This window comes from Homo sapiens, chromosome 18, assembly GCF_000001405.40.
Source record: "Homo sapiens chromosome 18, GRCh38.p14 Primary Assembly".
In the NCBI taxonomy this organism is placed as follows: Eukaryota; Metazoa; Chordata; class Mammalia; order Primates; family Hominidae; genus Homo; species Homo sapiens.
In genome coordinates this window covers 32,200,448-32,221,130 of record NC_000018.10, presented here as the reverse complement: position 1 = coordinate 32,221,130, position 20,683 = coordinate 32,200,448, and the positions used below count along the sequence as shown (strand labels likewise).

At 39.6% G+C, this 20,683-nt stretch overlaps 1 protein-coding gene across 4 annotated transcripts in view; it reads right to left on the bottom strand.

The window, feature by feature from the left end:
• Positions 1-726: 726 nt before the first annotated feature.
• The window catches only part of MEP1B (meprin A subunit beta), a 30,366-nt gene continuing 10,409 nt past the window's right edge, over positions 727-20,683 (bottom strand). Inside the window, exons 6-15 of one of the 4 annotated variants that reach the window (NM_005925.3) lie at positions 18,121-18,238; positions 16,771-16,949; positions 13,661-13,879; positions 12,860-13,012; positions 10,415-10,630; positions 7,572-8,015; positions 5,870-6,049; positions 4,014-4,140; positions 3,166-3,370; positions 727-900 (exon numbers count right to left, since the gene is read on the bottom strand). In NM_005925.3, coding sequence (NP_005916.2) covers positions 886-900; positions 3,166-3,370; positions 4,014-4,140; positions 5,870-6,049; positions 7,572-8,015; positions 10,415-10,630; positions 12,860-13,012; positions 13,661-13,879; positions 16,771-16,949; positions 18,121-18,238 — 1,856 coding nt within the window. In that variant the 3' untranslated portion in view covers positions 727-885. The remainder of the gene's footprint in view (positions 901-3,165; positions 3,371-4,013; positions 4,141-5,869; positions 6,050-7,571; positions 8,016-10,414; positions 10,631-12,859; positions 13,013-13,660; positions 13,880-16,770; positions 16,950-18,120; positions 18,239-20,683) is intronic. The other 3 variants (NM_001308171.2, XM_011526013.3, XM_011526014.3) reach the window with 3 other exon arrangements.

Below are 20,683 nucleotides of genomic sequence, written 5' to 3'. Positions count from 1 at the left end.
GGCATTAGAGATTTTCCCAAAAAATGTAAACCAATGCCCCTCTCTTTGCTAAATATTCTCCTGTTTTGAAAAATATAGCGACTTTTCATATTTATGTTAGCATATAAGGGGCTTATTTTTTGTGATTAATAAATACATTAAGTTTTTCCTGGTTTGAATTTCTAATAAACACTTATTTAAATCAATGAACTGCTCATAAGCAAAATAGATCCTCCGTAATCTATTTGAGATCCTCAGTAACCTATTTGAGATCCTCAGTAATTTTTAAAGTGTAAAGATTCCTGAGATCCAAAACTTGGAGACTTGCCACTCAAAGAGTGAAAGGTTTTCTTGCTGATTACAGTCGTATGCTCAAACAAATTCTAAACCAAGCTCATGTACCAAAGGGATTATATAAGAAAACAAGAGTAGCCAGTTTTGGAGAAGAATGTATATTGACAGAGAGTGGGGAGCTGTCTCATTACCCTTCCCAATGCTGGGAAAGGATGGCACTGAAACTGCTGTGATTCTGCATGGATGATCATTCCCATTGGGTGTTTCTAGTGGGTTTCTAAGGAATCACTTGTGAGGACACCACACTTGGCCCCCATATGGAAGGATCAGTAATTTGAAAAGCCATCTCTAACTGTTGCTCTCCCTTTTTTCTAGACAATATTATACTTCCAGAAGAGCCTGAATTGCTTTTCTCTCATTTAAAAGAAGGAAACACAAACAGCATTTCACCAATTTGACTTTGACCAAAATAGTGATTTATAATATTTCCAGCTATTTACAGAAAAATATCCACTTTTAGAAGAATGAGGTGGCTGTAATATCACTTAGGCGAAATCCATGATGAAGAATCCTTTTTAATTTCATTAGCTGGCCATATTGTCGAGTTAATCTTCAAAAAGCATGCTGCTAAAAGGGGAAAGAACAATTGATGATTTAATTTCTAAATTTAAAAACTGCTATTTAAATGAATCATAATAAAATGATCTGGTCTTTAAATGAAGTCCCCATCAGCAGTCTCCTGGCCTCCCTCCTAGCTGGCAATGGCTCCTGCTCCTGGTCTCCATTTCGAGCCCTGGCTTTTCGGGCCCACATTATTCAGATGCTAAAACATTAGGGTGAACACATACATTCGCCTCAGAAAAAAAGGTCATTCTGATTTAAGATCTAAACGACATCTGGGAGATCTGTTACCAGTGAATTAGCTGTAGAAATGCCTAGCCTAAGATAATGTAAGTCAACTGCCTTGTCCTTAGGAATGTGTTTAAATGACCCAGAAACAAAACAGCTCTGTTGTAATATTATGGAGTGTGTGTGTGTGTGTGTGTGCATGTGTGTTTCCACTTACTATCCTTACCATGTCTCTAATACTGTCATGGTTTCCCTGCTTTATTGACTTAGCTTCCTAGCTTCCTTCTTTCTCTTCTCTTTGGTTTTGTCATTTTTCTTTAACTCCTTCCAGTTTTTACTTGCTAAGCAAGTTTATACTTGCTTATAACAGCTGTTACACTACCCATTCATTGTCAGGGAAATATCCTGGCAATCCCATCCACCCAGTTAACTTGTCCCCTCCTGCCCTTCTACTCTTCCACCTTCCATGCACCAACTCCTGGCTCATCCCAATGGCCCAGGAGACCGAACTTGCAGGCACAGCTGCCATCAGGTTGACCTACCAGGCCAAGTATTCACTGATCTTCCCCTTTTATTTTGAGTCATAAAATAAGCTGAAAGTTGTCTTAAAACAAAACAACCTGTTTATATTTTAAATACTTTTCTAATAATTTTGTGAAGTAATTGATCTATTGCCTTATTATTAGCATTAAACATCTTCCTGATGTTGAGGAAATAGGACAACAGCCTACGATAATACAACGATTTGCTTTCAGTTCATTATCATTGTTCATGTTTTGACTGACTTGATACCAGGCTGTCCCCTTTAAAAACTCGTAGCTTTAAATATAGTATGTCTTGAATAATCGTTTTTCTTAAGAAAATGTACTCTTGCTTTAGCCAATTGCAGTATTTTTATTTTTGGAGATATTCTAATTGGGCATTTTTTCTGACTGGCTTCAGTAGCAATTTTCAGAGACTCCAATTGGAATGAAATAGAAATGGAAGAATTTTAGGGCTTCACTTTTAAGTAATGCTCAGATTTTATGCCACTTTCTCTGTGCTTCTTTGAGAGGAATATGAATCTGCATGTAAAACTCTGTACTCTACTGCTGGAGTATGTAGTGGATGCTAGGGAACTGCTGCTTTGTCCTGCCCTTTGAATGAAGGCTGTTATGCAAGAAATGCCCTCCCCCAAAGGCCGTTGCCTTGCCCAATTTTATGCCCCCTCTTTGAGGGCAGCCCCCTTCCAGTGATGGGAGTACAAAGGCCTGGCCCCCTCCCTCGATTCAGGACGTGCCTAAGAGGGAGTCATCCCCACTCCAGAGCTCCCTGAAGGATGGGCTGAGGCCTCAGCTGCAACCACATCACATTCCAACCTCACCCTCTGCCCAGGCCAGCTCCCTCAGCCTATTATACGTGTTCCAGGAGCCCTCCCCAATAAACCTCCTGCGTACAAATATCCATCTCAGAGTCAGCTTCCCAAGGGACCCACTGGAAACAGGATCGTTTCAGGAGTCTATTAGCATTCTAGAGATTTTTTGAGGCAAGACTTTAAATCCTTTACTTGAAAACTTGCCTTAGAATTAGTTATTCCACATGAAGCCAGAATGAACTGGAACCTTCTTTAATGAAAAAGCTTCCCCAAACATGCCTGCATCCCCTTCCTATGGCCTCAGCTCACCACCACTACAAGACCTTTAGAACAAAAACACTTGCAGGCCACCTCTTCCCTTTACCAGGAAGGTTTGAACTTTCAGGCAAAATCAGTTGTGCCTTTCAGGTCACAGACCACCCCACACTCCAGGAAAAAAACCCACACACACAACTGTACACAATGTTGTATACAATTCCAGGAGGATAATGAACCTCCATAAATCCCAGTTTAAGAATCGTTGATTTACAGTGAAAGTAATAGGAACTTTTATAATCTGAAATCAGTTGTCCCAGCATAGGAAACAGAGAGAAGAAGGCAAGAACCAAAGTATATAAAAAATGTCCTAGTTCCTCTCCATAAGATTTCACCAATAGGTTATGAATAATCAAACATCAGCCTCAACTTACATTTTGCGGAGTCAAATTTGGTCGATTTGAGCTCATCCTTTCACGATATTTCTTCCTGGTGCAATAGACACTGACAAGGGTGATGATCAGCATCAAGGCAAACACAGCAACAGTAGATGAAACAGCAATGACTATGGTGTCTCGGGTGGAGCCTCTCTTTTCACACCTTTCTCCCATGTACCACCAGTCTTCCCCTGACTGGCACCTGCATGTTGAGAGCATGACTCAGAGTTATTAGTTGATATCTAACTCCAGAAATCTTCACAGTTAAAGATGTGGATCACCTTTAGTCTATTTGATCACCAATAGGTCATTGCTATATGAAACTATTTTACCCACTCTGGACTGGAGAGAGACTAGCACCTAGAGCACAGGTATAAACAATGGAAAGAAAAAATGGAATTCCTCCTAATCTGATACTAAAACAGTATCTCCAAGTTAGGAAAGGCCGATAGCACAGATAACAGAGAAAGTTTAGTTCTCAGTGTCCCATGCCCGCCACCCTCCAGATTCACATCTTGGCCAAGGGCTCCTCAGAACGTCAGTATCTTCATCTAGAAAATGGAGGCAGCTACACTTAAAATGACTGGACTGTTATGAGGACTTTTTCAGACAATTAGAATATAGAGTTCTATTTTTTTCATAAAAAAATTGTGTTGGCTATCACAAAGATAGTTCTTGAGGTTATCCAAAGCCCCAAAAGGAGAATAAAAAAAAAATTCTATGAATGGCTGTGAGATGAGAATCAACTGATTTCATTCATAAGAACTATTAAGTAATTAATCCTACATTATGGAAATAAAATTTCTAACCAAAGAATGGAGAGATCTCTTTCAAATCATCCTTACCTGCACTCAGCTTTGCCATCTCGAACAGTGCAGACACCGTCATTTTTACAGGTGGTTTTTGAGCAGAGGTCTTGAACACTAGGGGCTGGTGTTAGCTGGATTTGTGTAGAGTTGAGGTGAGATATGTCTAGGAAGATGGGGAAGAGTGTGGATGGAAATCAGCTTTTGTTTAACAATCATTTGATCTTTAATTTTCATTTTCTTTTAATGTTTCTTTTTTCCTTTTTTCTTTCTTTCTTTTTTTTTTTTAGAGGTGAGATCTTGCAATGTTGCCCAGGCTGGTCTTTGCTCCCAGGCTCAGACAGCCTTTCCACTCCGGCCTCAGAGTCCTGGGATTATAGGCGTGAGCCATGATGCCAAGCCCAATCTTAAGTTTCAGAATAGACAATGATCAGATTTTAGGCTTGTGAGAAATTCAGGTATCCTTGAAGCACAGTCTAGCAACATTCATAGGCAGCGAGATAAGAACTAGGCAAAGGGAAACTAGGCCAGCCTACTGGGGCTCCAACTCAACCACATGCTGGCCTGGATTCTGGGAGCCCAGAAGGGTACAAGCCACTGATACCAACTTTCAAGAGACAGATAAGGAAACCAAAACTCAGAAATGTAAAGTAATTGAGGGCATTGCCCAAGGTCACAGGTCTCTGGCTTGGTAGAGCAAATTGGTGGAGATTTGGAGCAAGACACCAAGTGCCCTGACAACCAGTGTTACATTCTTTGCAGTATTTGTTATTGCTTCTGGTTGAAATCGCTATGGTCAAAGAGAACTGATGCATACTGATTTTTGTTCTCTGCTACATAAAATATTTTCTCTCTTAACAGAAGTTATTTCTGAATAATCTCTCCAAGAGGTATCATCTAGATTTACTCTAATGGACACTGGAGTCAAAATTTTGTGGGTTTTAATTGCACCACCTTTCATCACAAACAAGAATCTGATTTACTGAGATCCAAGTGGGTCTTTAATAGAAAATGAGTTAAAATCCTACCACATAAAAAATAGAAACCACCAGAATTGCTGCAAAATGTATTTATTGGCTGCCAGGTGTAAGAAATTTAACATTAGTCTAACAAGAGATTAATGTCATTTCTGTCAAGATATATATATATATATATATATATATATATATATATATATATATATATATGCATATATGTATGCATGTATGTACATTTGAAACAGGTAAGATGCAGACGTTTCCAGTCATTTAATTTCATGTGCTTGTGTGATATTTTTATTTCAGGAATCCTAGGGTATAATAGTTCTATTTTAACTTATTTCTTTTCTTTTTTTGAGACGGAGTCTCGCTCTTTGGCCCAGGCTGGAGTGCAGTGGCACGAACTTGGCTCACTGCAAGCTCCGCCTCCCGGGTTCACACCATTCTCCTGCCTCAGCCTCCCGAGTAGCTGGGACTACAGGCGCCCGCCACCACGCCCAGCTAATTTTTTATGTTTTTAGTAGAGACAGGGTTTCACCGTGTTAGCCAGGATGGTCTCGATCTCCTGACCTCGTGATCCACTCGCCTCGGTCTCCCAAAGCGCTGGGATTACAGGCATGAGCCACTGCGCCCGGCCTATTTTAACTTATTTCTAAAGAAATTTCCCAACCTAAAGGTTTCCGCTATAGCTTCATGTGGTGGTCATTAAATTCTTTATTCTGGAATCCTCACTGTTTCAAATTAAATTATTTTCATATTGTTAATAATTCATATTCCTCCCAAACCCCATTCATGCCCATTCCCCCCACATCTCTATATAATACATCTAAAAGTGGAATGCAGAAAGAAAAACAGAAAATAATCAGTGGCCACAACAAAAAAAAACTAGTTTATATAAAACTATTTTTATTGACATACCTTCCACTGTCAGTAGGATATAAACATCATCTCCTTTTATAAAATCTCTGCTTTTCAGCCTTTCGTGGGTTATAAAGGCACTGGTTCCATAGCCCCCACCTCTTCTAAACTGAGTTCCATTAGAGAACAAAGCCACTGTTCCCACTTTAGAAGGCCTGTCCCAGAAATAGTTTCCATTATCTGAAAAAGCAATTTATATTAATGGAGTGTGTTTATCATCATCGTAGCTTTTGGTGGTAGGAAAGAACAGGCAATGTGAAACACAATTAGGCTGGAACTCAAAATAATTAAATGATGCTATTGACCTGTGATGTATTCCCTGGCAAATCACTGGGGCTTGTTCATTTATACTGTCCTAGAGGAAATGAAATTGCCTGGCAGGGAGGACCACACTCTAGAATAAGAGTGGAGAGGTACCAGAAGTTTCCTAGGTACCAGATATTCCTGGGAATATCATATCTTTACTTATTGGCCAGTATAGAAACCCTCCTATCTATTAGAATAATTTAGAATAGGCTTCAAGGCTACTAAGAGAGTCCTTTTACAAAGTTACAGATTGTCCAGTTAAAGCAATATGTTGCTGAGAGAGTTTTTAATATCAGCATAGGATGATTTATCTTATTAACTGAATTATTCACCTAACAGAGCAAAGTGCTTCAGAAGTAGAAGACAACAAGAAGCACTGCTTCTGGGAAAAGATAATGACCTACCCAGCCCTGAGCTGTTTTTAATGTCATTTAGTAAGAAACACTTTAGGAAAAAGTGAAGAAATTCTGAATGTCAAGTCCCTACAATTCCATTGGTGAATATTATTGTTTTCCTATGAGATTAAGTTGGATTTTTTTCTATGTCGATTTGGTCCATGTTTTTCATATATAGAATTCACATTTGGCAAAATTATTCAGCTTGCCATAATTCCATTTTTTCCTTTACTAGGGTCTCAGAAGCAAAGAATTATTAAAATTAGTAGTGTGATCTTTGCTTTCAGTGGGTTGCTTCTTTTTGAGATGGGAAAGATGGGGAATGATGTCATGATTAGCAAGTCCTCTGTAACTTTTTACTAAGAAATTATAATGCATTTTCATACCCTTCCCACCAACACTTGAATGCACCTGCTCAATACCTTCCTTCTGGTCAAAAACTACCCCCATTTCAAACGCTGAATTATTTTTGACAATCCCAGTGACGTGAACAAGGTAGCATGAGTTAGAAGAACCCAACATCTGAGGGCCTCTCCACCGCAGGCCTTTCCACAGCTTCCACACTTGACCTGTACTAATTCTCATAGCAAATCTGTGGAATGATTACTACAGCCCTGGCTTTACAGCTGAGGACACTGGGGCCCTAAGAGATTATTTGCTCAAGATTACATAACTAATGAGAAGCAAACTTTGGACTTGAACTCAGGCATGTCAGACTCTAAAACCAACACTTCTTGCACAGAAGTGGAAATTTGAGAAGGGCCATCAGTTCTTAGGAATACAGTCAGCATTTGTTGGAGTCCTTGCTGACATTTGTGATGAGCTCCTGTCTGACAGACTCAGTCCACAATTCTTGAAACCTTTCCCCTAAATATCTGTTCTTAAGATTTGGGGCTCAAAATTCCCTAGGTAACTAACTGTGCAATCCCTCATTCCCAAAATTATCAGTCCCTCCTAGAGCAATGATTGTTTATTAGCAATAAAGAAAATGAGTTACGAACCGGTGGTCATAAATGGGTCTGTAGTTATACTCCGCTGATTGGACATACGCTGTCGAATGTCAGGATTTTGATCCAAAAGTGTCATTGTGGCTTGTTGCCAAGGACATGGCCACTGTAATTGATCATCATTGGCTCCAGAGATCAAGTGGAAATATATCCCTGCATTAGTCACATGGGCTAGATTTAAGTAAATCTGAAAGGCATAACCTTTAGAAGAGTAAAATGGAGGGCTATACAGAGTTCCATTTGGGCTGCCAATGAACTGTGTGAAATTCCTTATATGCCAGATATGATGAGGGCACCGTGTTTCCGAAAGATTGATGTCATCAATAGACAGACCACCCAGTGATGCACCAGAGCCTTTGCGTCCTTCAAACACCACTCTAAACTTCTTGGTCACTTTCAATGTTACATGATAAAGTTGCCAGCTCCCAGTGGGTATTTCTGCAAAAGAGTCATTATTATTTCAAAGACAAAGAAGTTCAAATCATGTACATGTCAACATTAGATTTCTAGCCTTCTTAGACAAAGGGTCATCCAAAACCGATTTATTTCTACAGGTCAGAAGTATGGTTTTGCCAAAGCTCCAGCCTAGAATTATTTACTTCAAGGTGCTTCTGTGGGGTCACACTGTTCTCTGGAATAGCTGAACGTTTGTCTAGCTGTTTCTCAAATAGATCACCCTTTCCTAGAGATCGGTGAGTAAATAACAACATCTAGCTCATGAGTACTTCATGCCCTACCTATGAGTTACCTGCCATTCTCCATTAAAGGGCCAGCAAACCCAACACTTGTAACACTTCTACTCAAGATTCCTGTGATACTCAGGCAAAGCCTTCTTTAATATATTTATAGTTTGATTGGAATACTTCCCTCACATACAAAGTCTTCAATCAACTTTTTGGTAATATTAAACAAAATCCACCAAACCCTAGAAAGCCTACATCCTGCAATCTACTCTTTAGATCACTTCCCAGTAACTCAGCATTGTAAGTATTTATCTGATATTTGGTACCACCTCCTTTCTTTCCAACCTGTACTTCCTCCCCAACTATTAGCCCATACCCCTCGCTAGCAGCACATAATATGCCATTCTGTCTGATTTTCTTATATCACATACTCAAATAAGAAGCAGTATACTAAATAATCTGCAGAGGCCCCCAGATGAACAACAGCTGAGGAATTCATGTCAAACTAGTGGTTAACACAAAGTCTTAAAACAAAAATATGTTGGCACTTAATGTGAAACACAGTTACTTGAAAATAAGCTAGACATACCCAAATGACAGAAAATAAGCAAGCTTCTTAAGTGCCTTTTTGTGTTATTGTGTATCAATGACGAACCCACAGATTGCTAATAGGAAGGACCCCCCTTCCAGTCCTGGACAATTATATATATTACAGATACATTATATCAATATTTGTATTAATTTAGATATTAATACATAAAATATAATATTTATAGTAACATATATGGCTTATATATAAGGCTTTTATATATGTAATATATAATATATTATATATAATTATTCTTTATATATTTTACATTGTTACATAAATAATATATATGTATAATGTGTGTATATGCTTAGTGAGATTAAGAACCTTACTGCTTACAGGTGTTCACAAAGAAAAATATCGCCTGTATTTCAGATTGTTTCTCATTGTTGAAAACAGGAGGAAAATGGCATACTATATTGCATAATATGGATCCAATTGTGGAACAAATTGAATTACTCAATTCATTCAAGTCATGAGATGATTAGGTGGAATAGACAGTAATATATTTGCCAGCCCACAGCCCCTCCCTTTCTCAGTCACCCCCTTAACCATCTACTTGCATAGGTGGTCAACATGGCTCTCCTCTCTGACACATTATTGGTATGAAGGGTGGGTACCCATTTCCCACTCAGGAATTGCTCCAGAAGCTGTGTTTAACTTAAGACATAAGTATCCCAGTTCTTCACTGGGATTTATTTTTTAAGCTTTATATTAGAGGAAGAGTCCTTTTTCCAGACTGATAGCAAATTTGGTCAAATGTAAGCTGGGAAGTGAAACAACCGAAGTACCAGTCTTATAAAGACAGCCATTCTGAGATAAAACAAGAGGTCCCCAGCAATGTTCAGAGACAGATCTATTAATAATTCCCCCTCAAGCCAGTGTCTCCCTCATCTGTCCCACAGGCTGTAACTAACATTTAGCCAGGAGCCCATCCTATTTTGCCTAAGCTAGTTCACATTGTATTTTTATGTATTTTATTTTTATTTTATTTTATTTTATTTATTTTTTCAGAGATGGAGTCTTGCTCTGTCGCGCAGGCTGGAGTGCAGTGGCATGATCTCGGCTCAACTGCCACCCCCGCCTCCCGGGTTCAAGCAATTCTCCTGCCTCAGCTTCCCAAGTAGCTGGGACTATAGGCGTGTGCCACCACTCCCAGCTAATTTATGTATTTTTTCAGTAGAGACAAGGTTTCACTATATGTTGACCAGTCTGGTCTCAAACTCGTGACCTCAGGTGATCCGACCGCCTCGGCCTCCCAAAGTGCTGGGATTACAGGTGTGAGCCACTGCGCCCAGCCTTGTATTTTTATTATTTGCCAAGAACTGACCTCCATAGTGCCAGAGACTGATCTACAGTTTCTTAAGTGAGTGTTACATAACAGAGCACTCAGAAAGAATCTTCATTCTAGCTTCCTTTCCACAGCTTAAAACAAGAATCTAGTTCTTAGTTGAAGTATAGTGACTCAGTAGCCCCTGCCCTATTGTAAATTGTTGCATTAACTAAAGAAAAGACCTAAGATTGCCTCATTTTAAATCCAGACAATAAGGATGTTGACATTGTACCTTTTATTTCTTCCACAAGGGTTAAATTGCCATCCACATTGTCTGCAGAATACTCCCTGATATAGATGTTCAGTTGATCACTTTCACTGCCACTGTTATATAAGTAAAATTGCAGGCACTGAAATCCTCTTTTAGGGTACAGCGTTCTACTTTCCAGCACTGCTGTGGCCCCCACATTTACAGAGCTGCTATCGAAATGCATGAAGAAACCAGAACCTGTTAAAGAAAAGCAGAATTGAGAGAAAAACAGATACTGGGTATAGGAATGTGTGTTTGTTAATGGTGGTGCTAGATTCTTTACGCGAGGCATAAGTAACATCCATATATAAATCGCCAGGGAGAAATGACAGAAGCCTAAGCTACATATCTGGCACTTGCAAAAGCTAGCAGATTGACATAACAGTATAAAACTCAAACCTCTCTATTATTTATAAAACGTTTACTTACAATAGTAGTTTTCCGTGGGCACTAATCCTTGCTTATCTTCATTTGTTATGAGCTATAAAGATAAAGCAAGTTTAAGTATCAAATGCTAACTTTTTAAAAATCCACTGTAAGGCTGCAGGTCAAGCCCAAACAGCAGGGCTAAAAGGTAGATTCTACATGGGACACCTTTCAAGTGTCCAAAACCCTGGTCCAGCTCCAAGTGGAAAGAGCTACCATTGGACAAAGATGCTACAGAGGGTTGTTCCCCCGCTGAGAATATGAAAAAGGAAAATGGAAATTAAGTCAAAACGAGGGTTTGAAACTTGGGTGGGTAGAGAGTTGTAGCATCTGTGTCTCCCAAGGGTAATTCAACGTGAACTTCTAGGTCTTTCTGGAAAGGTGAACACACACTGCGGACAGAGGTGAGAGTCCAGCCAGGAAACCAGGGCCTTGGCTGACCTGCCCGCCCCCCTTTTTTTTTTAAACACTTTCTAACTTCTTTGGCTTCAAACTGTCACAAAAAAAGAAGGAAGAAAAAAAGAAAAGGAAGAAAGAAATTCAACTTTCAGAAGATATTGTTAACTACAGCAACCATCTGGGGAGATTCACATTTTAATATTTTTAAAATGATACTTGTAATGAAAAAATTGAGAATAACTGAACCTGATAATTTCAGAGGCACCTCCCACTTATCTGCTTTCATTATCTGCAATACTTAACCTTCTAAGCCATCTCTAAAGAAGGCACAGCTAGTAATTCTGGTTTGAGTGTATATATATTTTCTTTCATTTTTTTTTTTTTTTTGAGACAACGTCTTACTCTGTTGTCCAGGCTGATACGCAATGGTATGATCTCAGCTCACTACAACCTCTGCCCCCCGGGTTCAAGTGATTCTCCTGCCTCAGTCACCCAACTAGCTGGGACTACAGACATGCACCACCACACCCAGCTAATTTTTGCATTTTTAGTAGAGACAGGGTTTCACCATGTTGGCCCAGCTGGTCTCAAACTCCCAACCTCAGGTAATCCGCCCACCTTGGCCTCCCAAAGGCCGGGGATTACAGGCATGAGCCACTGCACCCGGCCCAATTTTCTTTACCTTATTTCAAGTATTCGCTTAGTTTCCACTATATGCAGGGAATTGTGTTGGGCATTTAAATATGGTTCTAGGAGCAGGCGATTTATGAAAGAGACAACATTAGGGAACCTTTCCCTTACCACAGAAATTAGTTTTCAAAAACAGAAAAAAGTGAGAGCTACCTGGTCTGGATTCTTCTTCTTTTCCCCCTCCCTCCCTATCTACTTTCCTCTGGTCTGAGTAGGACCACTATCCACTATCCAAATATGCATTTAAAAAGAAAAATAAAAGGAAAAGCACCTTTTTGCCATTAGAGGCCTCCAATTCCTGCCTAGATCATCTGAGCTATTAAGCACTGGCCCTAAGTTCTGAAGTCTAGTTTTACATATTTGATGCCAGAATAAGCAAATACGTAAAAATTTGGTCCTTGTAGCCAAATAACTACTTAAGGCAAAACAAAATGAAAATGGAAAAGGATACGCATCTGAAGAAAATTAAATAAACTCTGCTTTTTAGATATTTTTGTAACAGGAGCATATAATCACATCCAGCTACAGTTCTGAAACAATAATTCGCAGCCTAGTGCTGTCCATTGGAAAGAGTCTCTTGTATTCTGCAAACTTCTAGGAAACAATAGTACTGCCCCTGAGATAAGAGGCCTTGCAGGAGGCCCAGTCTGGTACACTCTCCTATGGGAACGCACTGGTAGAGGCATCACAGAGCCCAGCTCTGACTTGTAGAAAGAAAAATAAACTCAGGAAGGAAAAGCAAAGAAATTAACAATGTCTTTATCAGGTGCAAGGCCTACTTCTCAGTAGTAACCTAATGAATAATCATTAATAATTCTGATAGAAATTAGAGATAAAATCCCATTCTTTCATAGAGAAGTATGTGGCTGTAGCCACTGAGTATACAGTCTAGGAATATCTCACTCCTGTTACCTTGGCACTGGCCCATGTTGGAGTGATCACTCTCTGGCCCCCTGGGAACCTGTGAAACCCGTTGCCAGTCAGCATTATCTCCTGAACTTTGGATCATGCCACACACATTTTCCAGTTCAAAACTGCACGAGTCCATAAAACTCAAGGAAGAGGCTACAAAAAGCAAAAAACAATTATTGACACTCATACAACATGATAATCTAAGTAACAAAAACTGAACTTATCACAGTATTAGAAATGCCAGGTTGGTATTACAGGGAACACCTAGCTGATTCTGGATGATGGTGGCTTAAAGATCCCTCTTTATTTGCAGAACCCCTACAAAGAAGGTAATGAATTCTGTAGATCTGAATAAGCTCCCTGCCTGAAGTCTTTTTTAAAAAAAATTTTCTAATTTGTAGAAACCTGAGTCTATACTCCCCTAGTTATTCGAATCATTAAGCCACAATCCAGATTATTTGATCCCATTCATATTACAACTAGACATATCATTTTGGCTAAAAGGAAGTGTGAGTATCAATCTGACCGAGGTTTGAATTAGTAACAGCTTTAAAAACTTGCCTGAGGCATATTCCTACAGGACCCAATTTGTTTTTAGATCTCAACACCAGACGTGGTGAAAAGAAAAATGCTGCTTCCAAGTTGTAGATTGAGATCTGAGTGCTATTCTGTTTATTTCCTGAATATCAAATCTCTATAATCGCAGAAACCCCACCAATGCTTGACAAAATGGCACAGACCATCATTTTTTCCTACATAACAGCGGAAAATATAAGTCATTTCAAAGAACCTGTCACATACAGCAGTTATACAGTTGATTCAACTTTAGGAGATCAGAGTCACTGAAATCCATTCGTTGGCCGATCACATCCTCAAAGTCTGAGATTCTTGTGACAATTGTCGGCTCTGTTCCATTTTGGAATGCAGTTTTACTGTAGTGCATTACTGAAGTGTAATCATAGGGAACATTCAGGGAATCTGATATATCGTCACTATAGGTGTTAAAATTGTGCTCTCTGCCTAAAGGATAAATAAAAAATCTTTACTTGATGTTCACAAAATTCAGCTTATCTTACTCCAAATACTGCTCACTTAGAAATGGAGAATATAATAAACTCAAGCAATTTTTGCTACAACTAACAACAGTTTCATTATTCCCATCTTACAATATAATATTCAAGCTTAGAACTGTGATACCAGCAGTCACACTGAACATATCTAAGGTTCTATTGCAGCCCATAGTTAGGACATTGGCATTTAGTCTAAGGCTGTAAAAATTGCTCGTGGAAAGGAGGATTCTAGAAAGTGCTGCTAACCAGCCTGGGCAACAAAGTGAGACCTCATCTCTAATAAATATTTTAAGGCCGGGCGTGGTGGCTCACGCCTGTAATCCCAGCACTTTGGGAGGTCGAGGCAGGCGGATCATGAGGTCAGGAGTTCGAGACCAGCCTGACCAACATGGTGAAACCCTGTCTCTACTAAAAATACAAAAATCAGTCCATTGTGGTGGTGCGCACCTATAATCCCAGCTACTCAGGAGGCAGAGGCAGGAGAATTGGTTGAACCCAGGAGGCGGAGGTTGCAGTGAGCCAAGATTGCACTACTGCACTCCAGCCTAGGTGACAGAATGAGACTCCATCTCAAATAAAATAAAATAAAATAAATATTTTAAAAATTAGCCAGGCATGGTGGTGCATGCCTGTAGTCCCAGCTACTCCGGAGGCTGAGGTGGGAGGATTGCCTGAGCCTGGGAAGTCGAGCCTGCAGTGAGCTGTGATCACGCCACTGCACTCCAGCCTGGGTGACAAAGTAAGACTCTGTCTCAAAAAAAAAAAAAAAAAGTGTTGTTGAACCAGTCAGGGCATTGGCCAGCAACGATGGCAGGCTGAGGACGTCCACAGTAGATGGAGATGGAAGTAAGAAGGCTTTGAAGGGATGGTGAGATGAAACCTGGGAATGATAACTTTCTAGTTATCCTACAGAGGAGTCATTAAAAAGCATTGACATGCAGTTATTGACTAACCATAATTCATGGTTACTGGAATAGGTGTAGATGTATTTAAAGCACAATGAACCAGCCTGGCCAACATGTTTAAACCCTGTCTCTACTAAAAATACAAAAATTAGCCGGGTGTGGTGGCGGGCGCCTATAATCCCAGTTACTCGGGAGGCTGAGGCAGGAGAATCACTTGAACCCAGGAGGTGGAGGTTGCAGTGAGCCAAGATCGCACCACTGCACTCCAGCCTGGGCAACAGAGCGAGATTCTGTCTCAAAATAAATAAATAAATAAAGCATAATGACTATAGTTAATAATAATGTATATTTCAAAATTGCTAAGAGAATAAACCTCAAATGTCTCACCATAAAAATGATAAGTGAGGTGATGGCTATGTTAAGTAGCTTGTTTTAGTCATTCCACGTTGTGTACACATGTCAAAATATCACTGTACCACATAAGTATATACAATTATGATTTGTCAGTTTAAAATAATAATAAAAAACAAAAATGAATATATTTAGAGAAGACATTCAGGCCATTTAGCATTATACTAATGGGCAACTGATTTCAACTTGAAATGGAATGATTCTGTGGACACTTTAAGGTGGTTCTGATCTCCAAAACATAAAGATGTGTTATCAAATGTGAGCAGAAGTTTAGATCAAAAATAAGACTTTGGGAATCCTAAGGAGTGTGGCTGTGGATTAAAGCTAAACACTGCTGTTTCTCTAGAAATCTTTTAGTTTGCTGCTATGCCTGACCGCATTTGAGATAAGCAGAGTCGGGGGATAAAGAGCAAGAGCTGTGATTTCAAGAAGTGTGGTGTCAGGGGACCTTGTATAGGGCACTCCTCACAGTGCCTCAGACATAATAGCAATGCCCTTTCCTCTGTCTCGCCCCACACAGGCAGGACAGATGAGGAAGCTGAGTGTCACTGTGGAATGTGGAAAACATGAGCTCTAGTCAGACATAGTTATTAAGACTTTGTGACTTTGAACACAAAATCACAAACAGTTCATGCTACTCAACTATTACTGAAAATTGTTCCATGAAACAATAAATCCAAATACTCTACAAGCTACTCTGCAAAAAGAAAAAAGAAGACCATGATCAAATCATTTTGGGAAATGCTCCTTTTCTTAGAGATTTACAATTCCTGTCAACCCAATAAACACTCAGAGCAGTATAGCAGGATAAGTAAGTCTAATTTCTTTTAACCTAGGTGTTATGCCTTGAATATGTCCCCCCAAAAGCATGTATTGGAAACCTAATCCCCAGTGCAACAGTGTTGGGAGGTGGGGCCTAATGAGAGGTAATTAGGGCATGGGCTCCGTCTCATAAATGGATTAATCCCATTGCTGCAGAAGTAGGTTTGCTACTGCAGGAGTGGATTCCTTGTAAAAGGACAGATTTGGTCCTGTTTTTTCTCTCTGACTCTCCCTTGACCTCTGCCCTCTGTCATGGTATGTGACACAGCAAGAAGGCCCTCATCAAATGCCCACCCCTTGATTTTGGACTTTCCAGCCACCAGAACAATGAGGAATAAATTTCAGTTCTTTATAAATTACCCAGTCTGTGGTGTTTTGTTATAGCAGTGCAAGATGGACTAAGACTTGGGGATTTGCAAAACTAATTTGGCCACAGACTCCGTTCCACATAATACTCATGAACATATTGTGGGACTGAATATGCTTTAAGAACCACAAAACCAGTTTCTAGAGCATATCTAGCTCATATGGGTTCTGGAATACTAGTGCTCCAATAACTCAGAATGAGTTCAAGCTGAATGAATTAAGACATCAAAACATCAAAGTTTTAAAATTATTAACAGTTGCCACAGATGACAAGAGAGGACACATGCTTAGAAATTCAGTCCTTAACTAAAAACATAGGAAAAAAAGAGAAATGTACCTGACAGAATTCTGTCCCACATTATCCTGACATAGTCATCCCGGTCAGAACGCGACTGCTCATGCCAGAATCCCAGAGCGTGGAGGAACTCGTGTTGAACTGTTGCTATTCGGTCACAGTTTGCCCCGATGGAAAGTTCTTGCTTCCCAACCCGCCTATTTCCTACTGAAGACCAGCAGCTTACAGGAGAGTTTACAAGAAAGGGGGAAGAGAATGTTACAATCTGAGGTCTCAGGGCAGAATCGCCACTGCCTAGTCCACTTCATTACCCACTTCATTACCCACCTTTGCTCTTACATCTGAACACTGTGCGTTTCTCTCATAACCCAGGTGACATAGTTTGGACAATTGTCCCCACTCACATCTCATGTTGAACTGTAATTCCCAGTGCTGGAGGTGGGACCTCATGGGAGGTATTTGAGTCATGGGACGAACCACACATGGCTTGGTGCTGTCTTCGCGATAGTGAGTTTTCATGAGATCTGGTCATTTAAAAGTGTGTAGCACCTCCCCCTCCCCACTCTTTCTCTGGCTCCTGCTTTTGCCATGCGACATGCCTGCTCCACCCTCACCTTCCACTATGATTATAAGCTTCCGGAGGCCTCCCCAAAAGCTGAGCAGATGTCAACACCATGCTTCCTATAAAGCCTGCAGAACTGAAAGCCAGTTAAACCTCTTTTCTGTATAAATTACCGAGTCCCTGGTATTTCTGTACAGCAATGCAAGAATGGCCTAATATACCAGGTATTGTATAATATTAAAAAACCTTACAGACCAGGTGATCTTTAAAGAACTTGCCCTAACACCAAATATTACATAGGAGCAAATCGTCCTCAAGGTGGTCTAGACCTGGTTTTTCTTGTGAATTTCAAAGTCTTTGAGCTCCTCGTTATGCCTGTGCCCATTAACAAGGGTTTTACAGGGACAGCAACCACTCAGAATTGCTGAGCTCAAGACAAATAATACTGTCGCCTTCTTAACCCAAGAAATAAGAGTGGTTAGGTTAAAATAAGCTTAAGCACAGACATGGACACACATAAATACACATGTTTTTTACTTGAAAGGGATAAAGAGTATGTAAATTACAAACGGGCTGAAATTCACAAGGTTGTGGGTCTGATGGCATGCAATCCCATCCACTTTCCACTTTGTCTAAAGGCGGTTACATGTATGGGAATATAATTTCTATGTCTACAAAAACTAGATCCAGTTGTTTTTTACTCTCCAGCAACTAGCAAGAAAGTCCCCACCCCTTCCTAAAGGTCAGAGCCTAGGATGATTGCTGCAATGTAATGTCCCAGGCACTAGAGTTCTCCTTAGATGCCTTAGAAGACTAAGTCTGCAACTTACCCACTGCCCTTGAACACTGATATATAGTTTGTTTCTCCAGCCCAAGGCTTAAAGTCAATACATGTTTTAAGGCGATAACGTTCAAATGCATTGAGGATAACTCCCTTAGCATTCATTTCTGAAGGAAGAAAACAAACAAAAATAAGCTTATTAAAACAATCACCACTGAAAAATCTTCCATGGAAGCAGGCCACTGCAATATATTGCTTATCATGAGTTAGTCCCTTCATGAATGTTGAGTCTTTTATTTTTACAAAAATTAGAATTCAGTACCCATTGAATATCATATACAGTATCTGCTTATTCTTCAGATCCCTTATTTGGCCTTATATTTCTCTAGCACTCACTCACTAATGGTGCATTACTAAACAATAAAAATGCATCTTTACCTCAGAGAACATATCCATTGGATCACAGGCAATCAAAATAAATAATCACCATCACGTACTTCATCTGAGAAGCCATAATATGTATTTAAAGCCACACAGCTGGGCTTTTAATCTGAGGATCTTCAGATGGGAGAGTCTATGAATACCCTGAAATAGTATGCAAAGTGTGTATGTGTGTGTGTGCATATCTACAAATGCAAAGTGCATTTTCTAGAGAGAGCTTTCATGAGGTCTGCAAGTGAGTTCAGGGCCCAAAATAAGGGTAAGAGCCAATGCTCTGGATATAAGAGTGATATGGATATGGAGCTCAAAGAAGGCAGAGGTGTGGAAGAAACAACATGCAGGAAAAGAAACTTGTGAGTGACCAGGAGGAACGGGCTGTATCAGATGCACATGGAGAGGCATCACATGGGCCAGGTCCTAGTGACGTGAAAGATGGGAGCCTGCCAGGAGGTGGGAGACAGTATGGCAGAGGGGAAAGTGCTTGGACTTTGGAGCCAGACACACCTAAGTTCTTCCCTATCCTCACCACTCACTTTTGACATAAAACTTTTGCCAATTCAATCAACCTTTGGAGCTTTGGTGTTATTATCAGTTAAGTGAGGAAATAAAATCAACTTTGCAGGATATTGTGAGGATAGTAAGAGAAAGTAAAGGTGAAGTTCCAAGTAAAATTAGCATTTGTCAAATGTTCATTTCCTTTCTCCCTTCTAGAGTAACCATTGCATAGACATTCAAGGAAGATTACTTGGTATGCCTCTGTTGAGGCAGGTCTAAGAAGATCAAGAACAGGATTCACATAGGGAAGACCCTAAAATCCATAAGTTGTAAAAGGCACTAAGTTCAGACTTTTACAATACCACATAAGTAATACACTATCGTTATAAATAAGTTAAAAATTGATATGAATAAAAAGAAATTTAAAATCCTATCATCCAGGAATAATCAATCACCCTTACCATACATTTTGCCTTTGAATACATATATAACATACATATGTTAATATTTCTATAAAAAATAAAGTCATCTACATAGCATTTTACCAACTATTTTTTCACTAAATATTATGTCATCAAAATATTTTTTCATCATTATTCTTTTTATCATTTTAATGAATAGAGGATTACAAATTGGATCCATTGGACATTGGATCACAGGCAATCAAAATAAATTGCCACCACATACTTAATCTGAGAAGCTATAATATGTATTTAAAGCCTCACAGCTGGGCTTTTAATCCGAGGACGCTGAGATGGGAAGGTCTATGAACACCCTGAAATAGTATGCCGTGTGTGTGTGTGTGTGTGTGTGTGTGTGTGTGTATCTACATATGGCTGTTAACGTTCAAAATGTTCTGTCCTATAAGTATCATATTTGGGTCATTATTTCAAATGTAATATTTCCTTCAAATAAGGTATGATAATACTGACCACCATATCACTGTTTTAAACAGAATGTAAAAGAGCATACTAGTTTAGGCCATTTATCAAAACTTAATGAGGATAGTTTCTTGAATTAATAAATAAAGTAACACGTGAAAGCTTTATAAACACTGAGGCCCTTTACCAAGATAAGATCTTTGTTTTCCATATGCCTTTATTTACTGAGGGCCTTAGTTAACCTTGCGTTATAGATGCAGAAAGCTCCACTTGGAACCATGCCAGGCTTTGGAAAATGAGGCAAGTTGCTGGCAATCCTAGGAGTTCAGTAAGCAGCTGTTCAGGATTGTTTCCCCTTAGTAGCCCCTTCAGGTTTCTAGCACCTTCCCCTTCATTTCCATCCCCAACTCTTTACCCTCAGCCTCCCCCACTGCCTTTTCTGCCTTGGTGCTAAGGCAAGGAATTATAACTTAGGCCCTGGAAACTATAAATGGCTGCTATGAGTATTACTCCTTTCAGGGAAGTTGCATCTACCAGCCAGGTAACATCTGAAGTTCAAGCTCAAAGACTACAACCCTACTGGTAGAATTTCACAGTTTGACCTACTAGAATCTGAGTAATAGGGCCTTCCAGAAATCAACCCTTCATAGGTATTTATTTTTGCTACCTGTAAGAGTGGCCTTGCTTAGTAATTTTCTTAGTCTGAGTCATTTGAAGATGGTATACATTTCTGAAACGTAAGGATACTTTTCTTAATTTGAACATAGAAAACAAGTTGAATTCTACAATATTAAA